This window comes from Homo sapiens, chromosome 7 (genome assembly GCF_000001405.40).
Source record: "Homo sapiens chromosome 7, GRCh38.p14 Primary Assembly".
NCBI lineage: Eukaryota > Metazoa > Chordata > Mammalia > Primates > Hominidae > Homo > Homo sapiens.
The window spans coordinates 37833465-37856377 of record NC_000007.14 but is presented as its reverse complement, the minus strand read 5'-3'; the positions used below and the strand labels follow the sequence as shown (position 1 = coordinate 37856377).

The window sequence follows — 22913 nt, the reverse complement described above, 5'->3', positions numbered from 1 at the left end:
TCTCCACTAATGTCCTCACCTGGAAGAAATCATATGTCTCTTCCTTTATTTAAATAAAAGCTTTGATTTTACTCTAATTACCTTCTAAAGTCTCCATCTCCAAATATCACCACATTGGAGATTAGGATTTTAACGTATGAAATTTGATGGCAAACATTCAGTTTATAACAGTTGGTTTTTGTAATCTAAGGCAATGCTTTTCAAAGTGGAATTTTCATTGTGTTCAGTGCAATACCATAAACCTTGACTAACACCTTGAGATCCAGATAAAGTGCTACTAGGGATGTTGCAAGTGCTGCTAAAAAGCTGAGAAAAATCATGACATTACAAGAAAGAGCTGACTTGCCTGATAGGTACCCTAGATTGAGGTCTGCAGCTGAAGTTGCCCACCATTTCAAGATAAAAGAATCCAGTCTAAGAGTAATTGGGTTTTTTTTTTTAAAGGAAGTTCATTGAGCCATTGCTGCAGCTGTGCCAGCAGGCATATAGATCTTGCACTTTTTCTGAAATACCTTTTTATCTCACACTGAAAATGCAGCTTTTATGCAGGTGCAGGATTACTATAAGAAAGGCATGCCTATAGACTCTAATATGATTCCCAAAAAAGCAAAGTTATCATATGACAACTTAAAGCAAAAGTAAGCGAGGGATCTAAAGCTGGAGAATTTAATGCCTGCAAAGGATGGTTTGATAATTTTTGAAAAGGTTAAAAAATATTAACATATCAGGAGAAGCAGCTGCTGCTGACCAAGAGACAGCAGAAAAGTTTCCAGATGCCTTTAAGAAAATAATTAAGGAGAAAAGATGTCTACCTGAACAGGTTTTTAATGCAGATGAAAGTGCCCTAACTTGGGATTTGGTGGGGGGAGGGGAATGCCGCAAAGTTCGTTATTTAGTAAAGAAGAGAAGTGAGCACCAAGACTTAAGGAAGAAGAGATAGGCTAACTCAACCATTTTATGCATTGCAGTTGGGTTTATGATCAGGGCTATCTTTCTCAATAAAACTGCTAACCCCCAATCCTTGAAAGGAAAAGATAACACCAGCTGCCAGTCTTTCAGTTGTACAAGAAATCCTGGACAATGAGAACCTTTTATTCTGGATTGGTTCCATCAGTGCTTTGTCCCTGGTGTCAGGAAGTACCTTGCCAGTGAGAGACTGTTTTTAAAGTTCTTTGATATTGGAAAATGCCCCTGGTCACTGAGAATCCCATGAGGTCGACATCAAAGGTCTCAAAATGATCTACTTGTCTCCAAACACAACATCTATAATTCAGCCTCTAGATCAGGGGCTCATAAGGACCTGGAAGGCTCATTACACGTGGTACTCTATGGAAAAAATGTCAGTGCTATGGAAGAGAACCCTGATAGAACATCATTAAAGTCTGGGAGAATTGCACCATTGAAGATGCCATCATTGTTATAGAAAAAGCTGCAAAAGCTATCAAGCACAAATTAATAAATTCCTGCTGGAGAAAATTGTGTCCAGATGTTGTGCATGACTTCATGGGATTTATGACAGAGCCAATTAAGGAAGTCATAAAAGAGATTGTGTATGTGGCAAAAAGGTGGGGGGTGAAAGGTTTCAAGATATGGATGTTGGAGAAATCCAAGAGCTGAGAGACACCACACCAGAGGAATTAACAGAAGACAAATTGGTAGAGATGAGTGCCTCTAAAGCAGTGCCAGACGATGAGGGAGAAGATGTAGAAGAGCCAGTGCCAGAAAACAAACTGACATTAGAACATCTGGCAGAAGAATTCCAGTTATTCAAGACTGCTTTTGACTTCATTTATGACATGGACCCTTCTATGATATGGGCACTGAAACCAAAGCAAATGGTGGAAGAAGGATTGGTACCACATAGAAACATTTTTAGAGCAATGAAAAAGCAAAAACGTCAGACAGAAATTACCACGTATTTCCATAAAATTACATCCACTATGCCTGCTTCTCCTGCCTCCCCTTCCACTTCCTCCACCTCTTCTGCTTCTGCCACCCCTGAGACGTCAATACCAACTCCTCTTCCTTCGTCTCCTCCTCAACCTACTCAATGTTAAGATGATGAGGATGAAGAATTTTATGGTAATCCACTTCCACTTAATGCATAGTAAATATATTTTGTTTTCCTTATAATTTTCTTAATACTATTTTCTTTCCTCTAGCTTACTTTATTGCAAGAATATAGTATATAATACACATAACATACAGAATATGTATCAATCGACTGTTTATGTTACCCATAAGGTTTCCAGTCAACAGTAGGTTATTAGTAGTTAAGCTTTTGGTGGAGTCAAAAGTCATATATGAATTTTTTACTACGTGGGGGGTTAGCACCCCTAACTCCAGCATTGGTAAGGGTCAACTCTATTTAGAAGTAATTCAGGTATTATAATTATAATGTTTATATTATAATACATAAATTATTAAGGATTAAATAATTTAATAATAATATAACAGTAACTATAATAAACACTATTAACTAAATTTTTATATGCCTCTCTCTATATATATAAAATATTTAATGTTCCTCTTTTAAAAAGGCACACAGCAGAAAAAAATTGTATACTGACCATTCAGCTCAGGGCAATTTTAATAGGAAATAACCTCATACATTTTAATTTTGGACCTACATGTTCAAGTTCTTCCTTGATTAACAGCAGAAAACAATATGTCCGGCAGAGGGCATCCCTCCATTGCTGCTCACAATGGAGGTTTGGAGATATAATTTTCTTTCACCTTTATGGGCAGGTCACCAGAATCTGGAACCCCTAGTCTATGTGAACGTCTACTGCCACTTTCCTAATGCCAACTGCCAGGATTCACAAGAATTTCCTGATCCTCAATTCCCTGTGATCCATCTGTCAGCTGTTAGACACTTGTGATACTGTATTTTAACTTCTATCAACCCCTTTCCAACTGCATGTGGCAATCTCCTTTAGGCTCTATTCTCTGGTCTTCTAACTTGATTTTTCTTCTCTGTGAAGAATCAAGTCTAGAATAATTTCCTAGCTCCTTTCTGGTGGTTGTGATTCTCCAGAGTGAAACAGGTTGTTACAGAATCTCGTCTTTAAAAAAACTACAATGACAAGAGAATGAAAAAACCAGCCACAGACTGGGATAAACTATTTGCAAAAGTAATACCTGATAAAAGACTGTTATTCAAAATACACAGAATACTTGAAACTCAACAATAAGAGAACAAACAACCCAATTAAAAAAATAAGCCAAAATCCTTAGCAGACACCTCCTCAAAGAAGATATACAGATGGCAAATAAGTATATATAAAGATGCTCCACCTCACATAATCTTGGGAAACGCAAACTAAAACTACAAAGTGATTCCACTACACACTTATTAGGATGACCAAAATCCAGAGAACAGATGCTGGTGAGAATGTGGACCAACAGAAACTCTCATTCATTGTTGGTAAGAATGCAAAATGGTACAGCTGCTTAGGAAGATTTGGTGGTTTCTTACAAAATAAAACATATCATTACCACATGATCCAGCAATCTTACTCCTTGGTATTTACCCAAATGAGTTGAAAGTGTAGTATGTTCATACAAAAACCTAAGCATGGATGCTTATAGCAGCCTTTTCCTAACTGCTAAAAGTTGGAAGCAACCAAGATGTTCTTCAGCAGGTGAATGGATAAATAAACCCTGGTATATCCAGATAATGAAGTATTATTTGACACTAAAAAGAAATGAGCTATCAAATCATTAAAAGACATGGCGCATATCACTAAGTAAAAGAAGCCAATCTGAAAAGGCTCCACACTATGTGATTCTAACTATATGACATTCTGGAAAAGGGAAAACTATGGAGGTAGTCAAAAGATTGGTGGTTGCCAGAGGTTATGAGGTAGGGAGAGATGAACAGATTACAGAGGATTTTGCTGGGAATGAAACTATACTATATGATGCCATAATATAGTAAGTACATGTCATTACACATTTGTTAAACTCCCTAAAATGTACAACACCGAGAATGAACTTTAATGTAAACTACGGCTTTTGGTAAATAATGATGTGCCAGTGTAGGCTAATCCGTTGTAACAATGTACCACTCTGATGTGGGATTTTGATGGTGGAAAAGGCTATGAGAGTGTGGGGATAGGGGATATATGAGAACTCTTTACTTCCTGGTAAATTTTGCTATGAGCCTAAAACTGCTCTAAAAATAACATCTATATAAAGACATTTTTTAAAAAATTAAAGGAATGAAAACCTTACAAAGTCCTTATTTCAGAAGACAAAAAAAAAAAGTCAATTCCTTCACCAGGACAACAGGATTTAACTACTGTAGACAGCCACTTACTCTCTTGAATAGAAAAATAATAAGAGGTGAGTGTCTAGGCTTTAAACTGCTTATTCATCATCTTGAACTAAGGAAAATAAGTCCTATGGAAAATGCATTTAAAGAAGGGGATGGATAGTGAAATACAAGGTCAGTAGGCAAACCCATTCCAATGTTTGGGTTGAAAGGGGCCATGAAAGACCTGTAACTGGGAGAACATGAGTGGGTTGTGGTTGCATGTCTGCATTAGGAACTATGTATTTCAGAGATAAGGAGTAAAGATCTGTTATCATCTGTTATCTGCTCCTGTATCTTAAGTCTAGTTGGTTTGGGAGCTTTTCTATATAATATAAATATATTATATAAGCCACACATATAAATTCTCCAGTAGGGACATTTAAAAACAAAAAAAGGTGAAAATAATGTGATAATAAATTTTACTTAACCCGATACATCCAAAATATTATCATTTCAACATGTAATCAATGTATAAAATTATTGATGGCATATTTCACTTTCTTTTTCCATATTAAATTTTTAAAATCTAATGTGTCTCTTACACTTGAGTATGTCTTAATTCATATGCTAAATGTTAATCAGAAATAATTAATCCTTAATTAGCTTTAATAACATTTACAGTTAAGTAGTAGATTCACATACTCAAGTTATCCCAGATTTTAAAAGTTTTACAATAACTCAATGGAGTATCAGTTTGAAAATCCAGATTTAAATTCATTAAAATTAAAAATTGAGCTCCTCAGTTGGACCAGCTACATTGCAAGAGCTCCATAGTCACTTATGCCTAGTAGCTACCATGTTGGACAACGAAATTCTAATTAGTTGATCATTTTATGTGAATAGATTGAAAAAACAGTACAATTCAGTAAAATGTGTTTGGCTATAATATTTTAATCCCTTATTGCAAGTAGGTAGCAAATAAATGAGGAAAAATCATTGCCACTGGAAAATATGGTAACTGGGTTAATGCCAGGGCACTACTCAATGATACCCAGTAAACAGCTTTTGTAGCCCTTATTCTAAAGGACACACACTGAACATGTGGTCAGGTGAAAGGAAACAGAACAATAGATGTGTCCATTATTACACTTTTCTGACTTTCACAGTCATGGTAAATAGCCTCGACGTTATAAGAATGGGATAAAAATCATATTCATTCTCAGATCTAGTAGAATTAAATATATAGTAAAACTGCCAAGTAAAGACTATCTATTTTGAAGAACTGACAGGTTGTTTAAATTAAGACAATACTTAAAGTATTAGAGGATACTTAAAAACTTAATATAATGTGAAAACAGTGGTTTAATGAAAACAAAATTCTTACGACAGCAAAATGCAGAATTTCGTCTTCGTTCAGTTCATTTTTCAATTTTCTGAATAAAGGTTGCATTGCTCTGCAAGGTCCACACCAGGCTTGGTAAACATCAATCACTAGAAGATGATGATATTTATGAAATAACAAAGTCTACCAATCTAGGATAGCAGTTATCCCAATCTGGAGCCATGGCCAGGGCAAAGGCACTGCAGGATTTCTTGGTCAAAGTGGGGACTCTAGAGGGACAGGGTGCCAGGAGGAGCTCCGGGTCAAACCCCAGGTGGCCAGACAGCCGGGGAGTCCTTATACCTGTTAAGCCTTTGTTCTGCAACATCTCATCCCACAGGCTTTGATTATTGATGACTGTCTGCAAAGTGGAAGGCACTGTAAAAGGTATTCAAGCACTAGTGCACCAGATAAAGAATTGTTGATATGTCAGACCCACCTGTAACTGGACTTCTCGTTTTTTGCTTGCCATTTATCTACTATCATAGGAAAAAGAAAGAAAAATTTTTAAGTAGGAAATTTAAATAACATTTTCTTTATGCATGCAAATAACATCTTTTAAAACAATTTTTAATTTTTGTGGGTACATAGTAGGTGTATATATTTATGTATCTCTGTATTTATGTACTTAAATATTTGTGTATTTAAATCTGAGATATTTTGATACAGGCATGCCATGCATAATAATCACATCAGGGTAAATGGGGTATCCATCACCTCAAGCATTTATCCTTTGTGTTACAAACAATCCAATTATACTCTTTTAGTTATTTTAAAATGTACAATTTAGATTTTTTGACTGCAGTCACCTGTTTGTGCTAGCAAATACTAGGTCTTATTCATTGTTCTTTTTTTTTTTTTTTTTTTTTGAGACATAGTCTCACTCTGTTGCCAGACTGGAGTGCAGTGGCACAATCTGGGCTCACTGCAACCTCCGTCTCCTGGGTTCAAGCGATTCTCCTGCCTCAGCCTCCAGAGTACCTGTGACTACAGGCACCCGCCACCACGGCGGGCTAATTTTTTTTGTATTTTTAGTAGATACAGAATTTCACCGTGTTAACCAGGATGGTCTCAACCTCCTGACCCGTGATCCTCCCACCTCAGCCTCCCAGAGTGCTGGGATTACAGTATTCATTCTTTCTAACTGCAAATAACATCTTAATGTACTAGTGAAAAATTTCCCCACTGTACATTGGATTATGCAGTGTCATCTTTGCTGGGGAGAGAGAAGCTAATGTCATGGAAGGACTATTGTATGCTAGGCTCTATGCTAAATGCTTATAGCTGCCACACTATCTTATCCTCCCAACAGTCCTGAAGCAAGGTAAGAATGTTAGGAGTTACACGTCGTCTGGTTTTTTTAAAGGTTTTGTTTTCCTGAAATATTAGAAAGTGTTTCCTATATTATCAATTGCAAACAAATGAACATGCCCGTGGATCTTTCTGGGGTCCCTCTTCAGATCTGGCTGCTCTAAGGATATTTAATCTTGAGAACAAGGCCACTAGTGTTTTCTGGGGCACGACATAAACTTCTCAAACTCCCTATTCAGTGGTATCAGGGGCGGTGTAGAACAGGGGTCAGTCAGCGTGCGGGCGATAGTGCACGCTAGCGTACAACAAAGGAAAAGCCACAAACAAGACTGTATTCCAGGAAAGGTGCTGGTTGCTCCGGCAAGCCTTACACAAAACAGGTCCTCCTCTAAGCTAGACTGGGACGTTTAAAGAAAAGGAAGGAACAGGCCCAGAGGATCTAAATCGGCTCCCTCGTTGTGGCCGTTTGAGCGGTGACCTCGGCGAAGTTCCATTCCAGTACCTAGGACCCTGGTAGGGCCCGAGGCTGAGGCTAGCAGGCCTCCTGCTGGGCTTTCTTCTCCAGCTGATTCAGCAAAAGGAAGAAGAGGGATTCCCTGCCTGTCTGGGAAGAAGAAGGGGGGCAATGTTTTGTCCAACCCATCTGCCCGTGAGACTTGAGCGGCGTCTCGAGGCCCCTGCTCCAGACAGCAGCTATACCTGGGCAGTGGGGACAAGACCAGGTGGCGCCTAAAATCCTCCACCTCTTCTGCCCACACAATGAAGGAACAACGAAGTCCTGGTTCCACCATCACAAGACTCTGTTCTTCAGCTGCCTCATCCCCAAACTCCCATCCCCCATCCTCCCATCCCTACGTTCCTCTATCCCCAGATGCGCACCAAGGTGCGCTTTCCCAAGTGCAGATTTGATCATATCTCTCCTCGCCTTTGAATCCTCCTGTGACTGGCCACGCTTTACAGCATAAAATGCATACACCTCAAATCGGAGCAGAAGGCTCTCTGCCAGCACCAGCCTTTTCTTTCTTTTTAACTTTGTCTTCATCTACCCTGGTTTGGTTCTTCTTGTTCTTCTTGTTCTTCTTCTTCTTCTTCTTCTTCTTCTTCTTCTTCTTCTTCTTCTTCTTCTTCTTCTTCTTCTTCTTGTTCTTCTTCTTCTTCTTCTTCTTCTTCTTCTTCTTCTTCCTTCTTCTTCTTCTTCTTCTTCTTCTTCTTCTTCTTCTTCTTCTTCTCTTCTTCTTCTTCTTCTTCTTCTTTCTTCTCTCTTCCTCTTCCTCTTCTTCTTCGTCTTCCTTCTTCTTTTCTTCTTCTTTTCTTCTTCTTCTTCTTTTCTTCTTCTTTTCTTCTTCTTCTTTCTTCTTCTTCCTTCTTCTTTTTCTTCTTCTTCTTTCTCTTCTTCTTCCTCTTCCTCTTCCTCTTCTTCCTCTCCCTCTTCCTCCTCCTCCTCCTCTTCCTCCTCTTCCTCCTCCTCCTCCTCCTCTTCTTCCTCCTCTTCCTCTTCTTCTTCTTCCTCTTCTTCTTCCTCTTCCTCTTCTTCCTCTTCCTCTTCCTCTTCTTTCTTCTTCTTCCTCTTCTTTCTTCTTCTTCTTCCTCTTCTTCTTCTTCTCCTTCTTTCTTCTTCTTCTTCCTCTTCCTCTTCTTCTCCTCCTCCTTCTCCTTCTCCTTCCTCTTCTCCTTCCTCTTCTCCTTCCACTTCTCCTTCCTCTTCTCCTTCCCCTTCCCCTCCTTCTCCTCCTCCTCCTCCGTCTCCTCCGTCTCCTCCATCTCCTTCATCTCCTTCTTCTTCTTCTTCTTCTCCTTCTCCTTCTCCTTCCTCTTCTCCTTCCTCTTCCCCTCCTTCTCCTCCTCCTCCGTCTCCTCCATCTCCTTCTCCTTCTCCTTCTTCTTTCTCCTTCTTCTTCTTCTTTCTTCTTCTTCTTTCTTCTTCTTCCTCTTCCTCTTCCTCTTCTTCTCCTCCTCCTCCTTCTCCTTCCTCTTCTCCTTCCACTTCTCCTTCCTCTTCTCCTTCCTCTTCTCCTTCCTCTTCCCCTCCTTCTCCTCCTCCTCCTCTGTCTCCTCTGTCTCCTCCGTCTCCTCCGTGTCCTTCGTCTCCTTCGTCTTCTTCTTCTTCTCCTTCTCCTTCCTCTTCTCCTTCCTCTTCTCCTTCCTCTTCCCCTCCTTCTCCTCCTCCTCCTCCGTCTCCTCCGTCTCCTCCGTCTCCTCCGTCTCCTTCTTCTTCTTCTTCTTCTTCTTCTTCTTCTTCTTCCTCTTCTTCTTCCTCTTCTTCTTCTTCCTCTTCTTTTTCTTTCTTTCTCTTTCGTTCTTTTTCTCTTTACTTTCCTTCCTCCCTCCCACTTGCAGCATCTGGAAATAATTTTTCACAATAGTTTCTGATTAATCCACAGGCTGAGATACAGAAAGCAACTGTAGAGTAGAGAGGGACACAATGAACCTTTTTGTAGGGATCCTCATCCCTGGAGTGGACCTAATAGATGAGCACGGCTACCTACAGAAGGATTTTTGACCAGGATCATATCCTATCAAGACAGGACATGTAGTACTCCTTCACTTCACCATCTGCAATTTTCTTTCCTTTTTTTTTTTTTATTATACTTTAAGTTCTGTGATACATGTGCAGAAAGTGCAGGTTTGTTACATAGATATACACATACCATGGTGGTTTGCTGCACCCATCAACCTGTCATCTACATTAGGTATTTCCCCTAATGCTATCCCTCCCCTAGCCCCCCACCCCCTGACAGGCCCCAGTGTGTGATGTTTCCCTCCCTATGCCCACGTGTTCTCATTGTTTAACTTCCACTTATGAGTGAGAACATGCGGTGTTTGGTTTTCTGTTCTTGTGTTAGTTTGCTGAGAATGATGGTTTCCAGCTTCATCCATGTCCCTGCAAAAAACATGAACTCGTCGTTTTTTATGGCTACATAGTATTCCATGGTATATATGTGCCACATTTTCTTTATCCAATCTATCGTTGATGGGCATTTGGGTTGGTTCCAAGTCTTTGCTATTGTGAATAGTGCTCCAATAAACATACATGTGCATGTGTCTTTATAATAGAATGATTTATAATCCTTTGGATATATACCCAGTACTGGGATTGCTGGGTCAAATGGTAACAAAAGCCAAAATTGACAAATGGGATCTAATTAAAGAGCCTCTGCACAGCCAAAGAAACTATCATCAGAGTAAACAGGCAACCTAGAGAATGGGGGAAAATTCTTGCAATCCATCTATCTGACAAAGGGCTAATATCCAGAATCTACAAGGAACTTAAACAAATTTACAAGAAAAAAACAAACAGCCCCATCCAAAAGTGGGCAAAGGATATGAACAGACACTTCTCAAAAGAAGATATTTGTGAGGCCAACAAACACATGAACAAAAGTTTTTCATCACTGGTCATTAGAGAAATGCAAATCGAAACCACAATGAGATACCATCTCACACTAGTTAGAATGGCGATCATTAAAAATAGTCAGGAAACAACAGATGCTGGAGAGGATGTGGAGAAATAGGAACGCTTTTACACGGTTGGTGGGAGTGTAATTATTTCAACCATTGTGGAAGACAGTGTGGCGATTCCTCAAGGGTCTAAAACCATCTGCTATTTTCAAAGAAGTTTTATGTATTTCCTATAATTGCTATTTCACCAGAGTCAGACTGTTAGTAAACTGACTTTTGATTCTTCTTTGATTCAACACAATAGTTCACATGGTGAAATGCTCATGCAAATATTTCAGGCAAATTCTTCATATAACACTTTGATGCAAGAAGTTTCAATGTATTCTCAAATTAGAACAAACATTTACCAGTGGCCAATACATGGAAGGAAGGTGTAATTAGTTTTTTTTGTTTTTTTGTTTTTTTACATCATTACTACTAATTGCAAAAACTTTGAATGTTGAGGCTTTAAAACATAAACCTGAAGAGCCTTTGACTTGGGTCTGCCCAGAATTGACTTTAAGGGCAAATTCTCTGAAAATGTTGGTTACAAGACAATGTATATTTTATTATAGGAGAGTGTAAGCTATAACTGCCAAAAAGCCTATGAGAGATGTTACTTTTGAAGGGACCTAATAGTTTGTTTTGCTCCTTAAATATATTTGACTTTATCTTTCAACATTCATTAAAGGTACTCTCTTATATTGACCTGCCTTTTCTTACCCTCACACAGCACTATGTATAGTGCTCAATTTGCTTTCCTTGGGGCACAAGTTTATTAGTGCCTAATTGTTTCATTTGTGTGTTCTCATGACTTCTAAATATATATGAAGACCCAGAAAATAAGAACTGGATTGTAGAATTGTTTTCGCTTTGCTCTCTTCCTCTTGAAATCCTCTCTGGCACCTAGCATCACCATTTTTGCATAAACACTTTAAAATTAGATAGCAAGCTAGTGCATTTGGAAATAGCAGATATTCTTGACACATTTATGTACTCTTTAATGAAGATAAACAAAATTCTTAATTTTTGAATCCAAGAAATCTGTCTGGTGATTTCTCAAAGAATTTAAAATGGAGAGAGCTACAATTTGACCCAGCAATCTTATTGGATATACACCCAAAGGAAAGTAAATTACTCTACCAAAAAGACAATGCATTCATATGTTCATCACTGAGCTATTCACAATAGCAAAGACATGGAATCAATCCAGGTGCTCATCAATGGTACACTGGATAAAGAAAATGTGTATATAAACATATACACCATGGAATACTACGCAGCCATTAAAAAGAATGAAATCATATCCTTTGCAGCAACATGGATGCAATTAGAGGTTATAGTCTTAAATGAATTAATGTGGGAACAGAAAACCAAATACTGCATGTTGTTCCTTGTAAGTGGAAGCTAAACACTGAGCACACATGGACATAAATATTGGAACAATAGACCTGCAGATTACTATAAGTGGGAGACAACGAGGGAGACGTGGGTTGAAAAACTACTTACCAAGTACTATGCTCATTACCTGAGTGATGGGATTTGTACCCAAAACCTCAGCATCATGCAATATTCTCATGCAATAAATCTGCACGTGTACCCCTCATTTCTAAAATAAAAGTTGAAAAATATTTTTAAAGTTTAATAAAATAAAGACACAATGCTTAAAAAAAGAAGAAATCTGGTCCAGGTAATTAAGTAGACTATAAAGAAAATAAATGGTATAGGGACTTACTTTAATTTTATCACTTCAGCTAGAGATAGAAGTAAGCTAGTCATCTATCCAGGAGAACTTTATATAACTTTTAAAAAATTTCTCCTATCTCCACTAGATCAAAATCACGGATTCTGAATTCCAATTTTAAAAGTCACCTGCATAATAATACTAAATTACATATTCTCTTTTCCCATTGTATATGAAATTAAGGCACTGAGAATAATAAAAACTCATAATAATAAAACAGAATGGGTGAACCTATTACAACTGCAACCTGTTGGGAACTGCAAGATTGATGGGTTTGGATTGAGATAAACATTTTGTGCAGTTTCTATATCCGAGCAAATCTGCCAGCCTGAAACTAATCAGAAAGAGGCTTTGGACCTCCCTGTCTGCTTTCTGGCTCAGAGACTCAGCGAGTTGCAATAAACCAAAACAGTAGCCATCCCTCTGCAGTCCAGGCACTGATTCATAATGCAATTTATGTACTATTTTCTACCTTTTACTACCTTTTTTGCTGTATTTATGGAAGATCACAGTTCTTTCTAAATAAGAAAAGCAAGGGTGAGAAAATGGAAAAATTAACTTGTGACATCCTGAGAGTCATAATCGGTGGTATGCTGGTAAATGTTAATAACCAGTTCTCTTGGAAAAAAATGTATACAACAAAGTATTACGAATTTAACTGTTAAAATGATGTTTCACATTTTTAATATATATTATAAAATATACAGTACTCTTTACTGCAAATCCCATATAGTCAATTGATTTTTACAAAAGTGTTTTTGTTTAATTTTTGCCAAACTCATGTTTCCATAGCTAATTCACAGTTGCAATTTGTTCAGAAGATGAATAAATGCTTGTTTACTATATGATTCAGCAAAGAAATTATTCATGTCATCAATGAATGTGTGTAGGTCCAGTAAGAATGTTGGTCAACATTTCAATATACATTAATGAGTTGGACAAAGTGAAACAATGAAGATATAAGTTAGAATTTCACCGATTCATCAATGACATAAACGACTTCTTGCTGAATATGGTAATAGTTTGCAAATACTGGAAGATTATTTCTCAAATATTGGGTGCTTTTTAGAATGTAACAACTACAGATGCAACACACTTTAACTTTTAATCTGCATTAATGATCAACAAATCAATAAAGTGCTAATTTGTAGCATTTGCAGATTTCCATGGTGTAAATATCCCCACCATGTTCACTTTCAAGTTACCAGCATGATGCCATGGGACACAAAAGATATGCACTAACACTTCATTATATGGTTGGTGTTTTTACCTAAAGATACAATATATATAAGTAATTTTAAGAGCACAGAAAATAGTAAAATGTGATAAAGTGATAAGGAAGTAATAAGTTTGAGAAATTTATTACTTATATTTTAAATATAAATAATTTGTTACTTTATATATTTTTTGTAATGGTTGTGATTAATGATCATCTCACATAATTCCTGAAACCTAACAATTTGTTCTCATTAACTAGCATAAGGTGGTTCCACGACTCTGCTGGATAATAATTTTAAATGATGGCTTACACGGGGACAGCGATAGGAAAAGAAGGAATGGAAATGTAGGATGAGTATGGTATATGCGTTCAGAATATTAGAGAAGAGGAGACGATCTGACTTCTGACAAGAAGAGCAGCACCAGATGTCTGCCATTTCACTAGATCTAGTTTTCAAAGTGCATTCAATCACCAACTATGTGTAGGTGAGTAAAACCAAGAAAACCTGGCACCTTGTTATTAGGCATATGACAGATATTTATATGAGTGAAGATATATATTTCAATGAAAACGCTAATAACAGCAACAACAACAAAAGCAACATGAGGCTTATGAACAAAGTAATAAAAATTAGTTAACATAATCTTCAAAATTAAAGGGTTCTTCACTAACATAAAATGTTTAAGGTATAAAGTTTGAAGAACTGACTTATTAATTGCATCCTATAAATTTCGACATGTTGTGTTTTTAAAATCACCATTCATTTATAAATATTTTCTAATTTACTTTTTTTTTTCTTTTACTTATGGGTTGGTTATTTACATATTAGTTGTCTGATTTCCAGATAGGACTTTTCTAGGTGTTTTATCATTGCTGATTTCCTTAATTCTGTTGTGGTCAGAGAACATATTCTGTAAGATTCCAGGCTTTTGAAATCTGCTAAGATTTGTTTAATGGCCCAGCTTATAGTCTAGCCTGTTAAGCCTTACATATGCATTTGAAAATAGGCTGGGTGCTGTGGCGCACGCCTGTAATCCCAACGCTTTGGGAGGCCAAGGTGCGCGGATCATGAGGTCAAGAGATCCAGACCATCCTGGCCAACATGGTGAAACCCCGTCTCTACTAAAAATACAAAAATTAGCTGGGCATGGTGGTGCGTGCCTGTAATCCCAGCTACTTGGGAGGCTGAGGCAGGAGAATTGCTTGAATCCGGGAGGTAGAGGGTGCAGTGAGCTGAGATTGTGCCACTGCACTCCAGCTTGGTGACAGAGCGAAACTCCACCTCAAAAAAAAAAAAAAACAAAAAAACAATGTGTATTATGGAGTAGTTGGAGGCAGTGTTCTACAAATGTCATTTGAGTTAAAGCCACTGACTTTGTCATTCAGATTCTTAAGGACCTTTTTTTTGGTGTAGTTGTTCTAACAATTACTTAAAAAGTCTGATAGACCACAATGAGATACCATCTCACACCAGTTAGAATGACGATCATTAAAAAGTCAGGAAACAACAGATGCTGGAGAGGATGTGGAGAAATAGGTACGCTTTTACACTGTTGGTGGGAGCGTAAACTAGTTCAACCATTGAACTAGTGTGGCGATTCCTCAAGGTTCTAGAACTAGAAATACCATTTGACCCAGCGATCCCATTACTGGGTATATACCCAAAGGATTGTAAATCATGCTACTATAAAGAGACATGCACTCATATGTTTATTGCAGCACTATTCACAATAGCAAAGACTTGGAACCAAACCAAATGTCCATCAATGATAGACTGGATTAAGCAAATGTGGCACATATACACCATGGAATACTATGCATCCATAAAAAAGGATGAGTTCATGTCCTTTGCAGGGACATGGAAGAAGCTGGAAACCATCATTCTGAGCAAACTGTCTCAAGAACTATCGCATGTTCTCACTCACAGGTGGGAATTGAACAATGAGAACACTTGGACACAAGGTGGGGAACATCAAACACTAGGGCCTGTCCTGGGGTGGGAGAGTGTGGGAGGGATAGCATTAGGAGAAATACCTAATGTAAATGACGAGTTAATGGGTGCAGCAAACCAACTTGGCACATGTATAACTATGTAACAAACCTGCACGTTGTGCACATGTACCCTAGAACTTAAAGTATAAAAAAAAAAACACCTAGGGGCAATTATTCTCAGTAAGAAATCAAAGCTATTTTATTAATTCCCAAACTCATCAAACATTTACAGAGCCCCTATTACATATGGCAAAGATAAAAATTATTATTATTATAAAAACAATCCCTTTCATTCATTTATTATTTAATTGTTTGAAAATTCATTTGTCTCTTCTAGAGTCAGGCACTGCTATTAGCTAAAAATTCAAGATTAATAAGATATAGTGCTGCACTCCAAGAACACACACTCCAGAGATTTACATCCTGAATTATTATTAGCTTACCAATGCCCAAAGAAAGAGGGAGGAGAATGTGATAGAAAGGCGGGACGTCAGCTGTATTTGTAATGTTTTATTCCTTTATAAAACCTGATAAATAAAAAGAATATTAACATTTGGAAAATCTACATGGCAAAAAGAAAGTCTGATAGAGTCTCCAATTATGACTGTGGGAATTGTGCATGACTTCCTTTAGTTCTGTCAGTTTCCTGTATATATTTTGAAGTTCATTTATTAGGCTCATATGTTTGCAGTTGTTATGTCTTCTTTTGAACTGTCTCTTTATCATTACAAAATGTCCCTCCGTCTCTAGTATCTTTGTCTTGAATTTCATGTTGGCTGATATTAGTATGGCTACTCCACTTTATTATGTTTACTGTTTTCCATCCTTTTATTTTCAATTTATTTGTGTTTTTATATTTAAAGTGCATTATTTTGTGGATGGCATATTGATGGTTCTTACTTTTTTACACAGTTTGAAAAATCTTGATTGCTGCCTTTTTATTGGAGTATCTAGTCCATATACATTTAATGTAATTACTGATATGGTTGTACTGAGGTGTCCCATTTTTCTATTTGTCTTATTTGTTTTTGTCATTTGTTCCTTAGATGCCTTATTTTAATTGAACATTTTTAAGCATTCCACTTTAATGCCTTTTTTAGTTTTCTAACTATATGTTTTGAAATTATTTTTAACTTATTGCTTTAGAGCGTAAAATATACACCTATAACTTAGCCTTACCTACTTGGAATTAGTATTGATTTTTTTTTAGGTGAAATATAGAAAACTTGCAACAGTATATTTCTAGTCATCTCTCCCCCATCCTTAATGTTATTATCATTTTAGGCATTATATTTATATATCTTGTAAACTCATCAATAAAGTGCTATAATTTTTGTTAAAATGTCATGTTTTTTAGAAAATACAGATACACACATATGTGGTGAGGGGAGGGAGAGAGAGAGAGAGAGAGAAGAGTTCTTAACTTACTAACTCACATACTTACCATCATTTTTGGTTGTCTTCATTTCTTCTAGGCATCAGAATTGCCATCTCGTTTCATCGCTCTTCAGTCTGCAGAACACTATAGGATTACTTGTAATGTAAGTCTTCTAGTGACAAACGCTCTCAGTTCTGTTTATCTGAAAATGTATTAATTTTTCCTTCATTTTTAAAAATGTTTTATGGATACAGAGTTCTTGCTTGACATGTTTTTTATTCCCTCTCTTCAGTGCTTTGAATGTATCTTTCTAAAGTATGATGGCTTCCATAGTTTCTGATGAGACATCAGTATTTAACATTATCATTGTTCTGCAGTATGCAATATGTCATTATTCTCTGCCTATCAAGATTTTCTCCTTAATTTGGCTTTCAACAAAATGACTATGATATGCTTAGTGGTGGTTTTCTTTGCATTTATTCTGCGTGTGTTTTGTGAGTTTCTCAGACTCCTACGTTAATATTTTCCATCGAATTTCAAGTTTTTGATCATATTCCTTCTAACATTTTCTTGCCTTCTTTCTCTATTCTCAATCTCGTATTCCAATTACACATATGTGAGAGTGTGATGTTGCCCCACAGGTCTCTGTAACTCTGTTTAGTTTTATTCTCTTAATTCATTCTTTGGGTGCAGATAACATATGTTGATTTATTTTCAAGTTTATACATTTTTTGTCATTTATTATTTGTTGAGCTCATCTAGTGAATCTTTTTTATTTCAGTTATTGTACTTTCCACCTTTAGAATTTACATTTTGCATAGTTTGCATTTGTCTGTTGGGATTTTCTGTCTAGTCTATTAATTAACATTATATTTTATTTAATTATTGAACTTTTTTGAATTTATTCAACATATTTTTAACAACTGCTTTGAAATCTGTGTCTACTAATTATAACATTTGGGCCCATTCAGTCAATTTCTATTGATTGCCCTTTTTTGAGTATAGGTCATACTTTTCCATCTTTTTACATATCTGGTAAATTTTAGTAATAAAACTGGACATTGTAGATAATAAAGCCAGCCTTGTAACAATTTTGAGTTCTGTTGTGTTATTTTAAACATTTCTATTTTATTATTCTAGTAGGCAATTGACATACATTTCTATACTCAAAATGCAAAATTAGAATACCCATGATATATAGCATCTGGCAAAAGGACATGCTTTTTCAATTAAAGATATATATGAGTTGAAAGTCAAAAATGGAAAAAATATAATGTAAAAAGTAAGAATGCCGACATGACCATGTTAATGTCAGACAAAGTAGATTTCAGTACAAGGAATATTTTCACAGACAAATATTTCCTGATGATAAAAGGGTTTATTAGGGAGACATAAGTATTTTAAATGTGTGTATATTTAAGAACAGAGATTCAAAATATATGAAACAAAAATTTCCTGAATTAAATGAAAAACAGATAACTCATTACATCTCAATAATTGATATAAATATATAAAATCAGTAAGATTACGGAAGATCTGAACAACCCTGTCAATCATCTGGACTAAATTGACACTTACTGAATAACTGCAGAATATACTTTCTTTTGAAATGCACATTGAATATTTAATGAATCATAAGCCAGATAATAAAATCACAATAAACTTCAAATATTTACATATTTCACTATATTGTCTCTGATCACAATAGAAATAAGTTAGAAATTAAGAACAATACAATAATGGTAAAGTCTGAAATACCTGAAAGTTAACAATATACTACCAAATAATCCATGAGTTAAACAAGAAATCAAAAGGGAAATTAGAACATATTTTATTTATGTATTTATTTATTTATTTATTTTTGAGACAGGATCCCATTCTGTTGCCTAGGCTGGAGTGCAGTGGTGTTCTCTCTGCTCACTGCAACCTCTGCCTCCCAGGTTCAAGCTATTCTTGTGCCTTAGCTTCCCATGTAGCTGGAATTACAGGCGTGAGCCACTAACACCCAGCTAATTTTGTATTTTTTTGTAGAGACACGATTTTGCCATGGTGCCCAGGCTGGTCTCAAACTCCTGAGCTCAAAACGATCCACCCCCTCAGCCTCCTAAAGTGCTGGAATTACAGGGATGAGCCACCAAGCCCAGCCTAGAAAATATTTTAAATTGAATGATAATTAAAACATACCATATCAAAGTTTGTTGGATGTTGCTAATGCAGTTCTTAGTGGGAAACTATAAATGCTTATATTAGAGAATACAACATGTTCAGAATAAGGATGTAAGTTACAACTTATGAGCTGAAATAAATGACTTATTTTTCAAAGTGAATTGAGAGAAGAAACTAACAAAAGTTAGAAAATTAATTAAATAGAAAACAAAAAAATGGAAGCTGACAAACATACAAGGTTTTTTTAATAAAGATAGAAAAAGACAAACCCAAAGCTAGACTACATAAGAAAAATAGGCTATATACAAATTTTCAGTATTGTAAATGAAAGAGGGCATATCACTAAAGACCTCATAGCAATGAAGTTACACAATGATGGAATATTACAACAACTTTATGCCATAAGCTTTTAAAACTTAGATTAAATAAAAATTACTTGAAAAATACAATTTAGCAAAGGGTAACAAGAAACTGAATTACCATGTATCTGTTACTTAAACTGAGTATATAATTAAAATATTTGTATAAAGGAAATTTTATGCCCAAATAAGAAAAATAATTTAATACTATATGAACTATTTTACAAAATAGAGAAAGAGGAATATATCCTGACATGTGTCTGCTTCCAGGCCAGCATAACCCTTATCGACCAATATACCTCATGAACATAGATGTAAATATATGTAACATATTAACAGACTGATTCTAATAATACATGAAAAAGATCACGTGTCATGACCAAATGAGGTTTATCTATCAATGCAAGCTTGAAAATGAAGCATTTATTCACCATATTAGCATAATACAAGAGAAAAACTATATCATGATATAAATAAATGAAGAAAATAATGTGATAAGCTTTATATTCATTCGTGATAAACACACACACAGAATCTCTTAGCAAACTGCTCCAATTTGATATAGTGTATCTATAAAACACCTCTGGCTAACATTATATGTAATGGTCAATTATTAAAAACTTTCCCATAATACCTTTAACAAGTCAAGAATGTCTGCTTCCCCCAATTCTACTAAATGTTATATTGAAGTGCTAGCTAGTGCAATACAAGGGGAATATAAATAATAGGTATAAAGATTGAAAAAAATATATACATACAGGCAAAGGCACGATTTTGTATCCTAAGGAATCTTGGGGAAAAATCAACCTACTAGAACTAATAGATGATTAAGCAAAGTTGCAAAATACAAGGTAAATATAAAAAATTGATTGTATACCATAAACTAGCATCGAAGGTTTGGAAAATAAAATTAACTTTAAAATTTACAATACCATCAAAGAAGATAAAAATATGTCATAAATTTAAAAAGAGAAATATATCTTATTGCTGAAAACAACAAAGTATTGCTGAAAAAAATTAAAGAAACCAAAAAAGTGTATCATATTCATTAATTAGAAGACTAATTGTTAAGATGTCACTTTTTTTGGTTTATTTGAGACAGAGTCTCGCTGTGTCACCCAGGCTGCAGTGCAGTGGTGCAATGCGATCTTGGCTCACTGCAACCTCCACCTCCCAGGTTCAAACGAATCTCCTGCCTCAGCCTTCCATGTAGCTGGGACTACAGGCACCTGCCACCATGCCCGGCTATTTTTTTTTTTTTTTTTGTATTTTTAGCAGTGGTGGGGTTTCACTATGTTGGCCAGGCTGGTCTTGAACTCTTGACCTTGTGATCTGCCCACCTTGGCCTCCCGAAGTGCTGGGATTACAGGTGCGAGCCACTGCACCCGGCCCAAGATGTCACTTTTAATCGAAATTATTCTATAGATTCAATGCAATCATAATAAAAATCCCAACCATTTTTTGTTGCACTTGACAATCTGATTCTAAAATTGATTTGGAAATGTCAAGTACCCAGAAGAGTCAGAAAGAAAAAAGGTAGAAAACGTGCACTTTACTATTAAACTACAGCAATTAAAATGGTGTGGTAATGCCATGTATAGATCAATGAAAAAAATACAGAGTTCAGAAAGAGTCCCACACATACTGTCAATTTATTTTCTCCAAAGACATCAAGGTAGTTCAACAGGGAAAGGAAATTCTTTCAAATAAATGATGCTGGAAAAATTTAAACTCCATATGGAAAATAATGAACCTTCACCTTCATAAAATATGCAATGTAGTTCAGATGGATCACAGACTTACACATAAAAGTTTACAACTATAAAGCTTTTCCAAAAGTATAGAATATTTTTACAATCTTGGGATGGTAATCAAATATTTCTTAGAACACAAAGAGTCATCATAAAATTTTAAAAGTAATAACTGGACTTAATCAAAGTTAAAAACCAAGTCTATGCCAAAAATGATTAACTTTCATTAATAATAATTTTAGAAAGCTCTGAACAAACTAAGAGTTGAGAAATAATTCCGTCTGAAACTTACAGCTAACATTGTATGTAAAATCAAAACATTAGAAACATTCTAATTAGGCTAAAACCATACAAGAATATTCACAAAATCCCATGTTCATGGATTGGAAGACTTAATATTGTTGAAATAATCATATTCTTCAAAGTGATCTGCAGTTTAAATGCAATTTCTATCAAAATCCCAATGGCATTTTTTACGGACATAGTAAAAACAATCCTAAGATTCATATTAAACTATAAAAGATCCAGAAGAACCAAAACAATCTCTAGAAAAAAAAAGAAAGCTGGAGGCATCATAGTTCCTGATTTCAAAATATATTACAAAGCTACTGCAATTAAAACTGTATTGTATTGGCTTAAAGATAAACACATAAATCAATGGAATAGAATGGAGAGTGCAGAAATAAACACACACACATATGATTAATTGATCTTTGACAAAGATGCTAAGAATACACAGTAGTTTCTTCAACAAATGTTAGGAAAACTGGATATTCACATGTGTATATTACACCACACACAACATTCAACTCAAAATAGATTAATGACTTACATGTAAGACCTGGCCAGGGTTGGAGGCTCACACCTGTAATCCCAGCACTTTAGGAGGGCAAGGTGGAAGGATCACTTGAGTTCAAGAGTTCGAAATCAGCCCAGGAAACACAGAGAAACCCTGTCTCCACAAAAAATAGCCTGGTGTGGTAGTGCACACTTGTAGTTACCTGCAGTTACTTGGGAGGCTGAGATGGGAGGATCACTTGAGCCCAGGAGGTTGGGGCTGCAGTGAGCTTTGATTGTGCCACTGCACTGCAGCTGAGTGACAGAACAATATCTTGTCTTTAAATAAATAAATAAATGTAATACCCCAACTATAAAACTTCTAGAAGAAATCATAGGGAGAAAGCTTCATGATAATGATCTTGGCAGTGATTTCTTGAATACAACACCAAAAGCACAGTCAACAAAAGTAAAAAATAGACAAGTGGGACTACATAAAATTAAAAAGTTTCTGTACAACCAAGGAAATAATCAATAGAGTGAAAAAACGTATAAAATCAGATAAAATATTTGTCAACCATATTTATGACAAGCCGAAACATATAAGGAATTCCCACAACTCAGTAGCAGAAAAACACTAAAATGCTAAAATAGCTGAGAATTTCATCTTAATCCTGTTATTTAATTTCATCAGTGAAATCGAAATCAACTCTTCATTTGAATATATTCTGTCTGAAGTCCTCATATGAATTTTCATTGCAAATGTTTATAAAAACTACCCCTGACATTATTTATTACATTTGAATTTTATTTAATATAATTAATAACGTGTAAGTGTAACTTCTCAAGACGTCCATAAGGTGGCAGTGTGCACTTCCGTAGTGGCGGTTGAGCAGCAGCGCAACAGAAAATCAGATAAACATCTACGCGACCACGTTCTGCTGCCAAGGCTCTGAAGCCCCCCTGCCCTAGACCATTTGGAGCATCAAACATGTAAAGAGTTCTGAGCTCATACCCGGGGGCTCGGCGTTGTCTTTTCTGTTGCTCATCATCTTACGCCCCAGTTCTAAAATGACACCCCCATTTGGAAATGCATGAACCTCTGTAATTCACACGTACCCAGGTGGTCCTGCAGCCTA

The 22913-nt window shown here is 36.0% G+C and overlaps 1 protein-coding gene across 1 annotated transcript in view; it reads right to left on the bottom strand.

The window, feature by feature from the left end:
- Nucleotides 1–7781, bottom strand: part of NME8 (NME/NM23 family member 8) — a 51801-nt gene extending 44020 nt beyond the window's left edge. Inside the window, exons 1-5 of the mRNA NM_016616.5 lie at nucleotides 7650–7781; nucleotides 7322–7554; nucleotides 6079–6118; nucleotides 5943–6000; nucleotides 5643–5749 (exon numbers count right to left, since the gene is read on the bottom strand). Coding sequence (NP_057700.3) covers nucleotides 5643–5749; nucleotides 5943–6000; nucleotides 6079–6111 — 198 coding nt within the window. The 5' untranslated portion in view covers nucleotides 6112–6118; nucleotides 7322–7554; nucleotides 7650–7781. The remainder of the gene's footprint in view (nucleotides 1–5642; nucleotides 5750–5942; nucleotides 6001–6078; nucleotides 6119–7321; nucleotides 7555–7649) is intronic.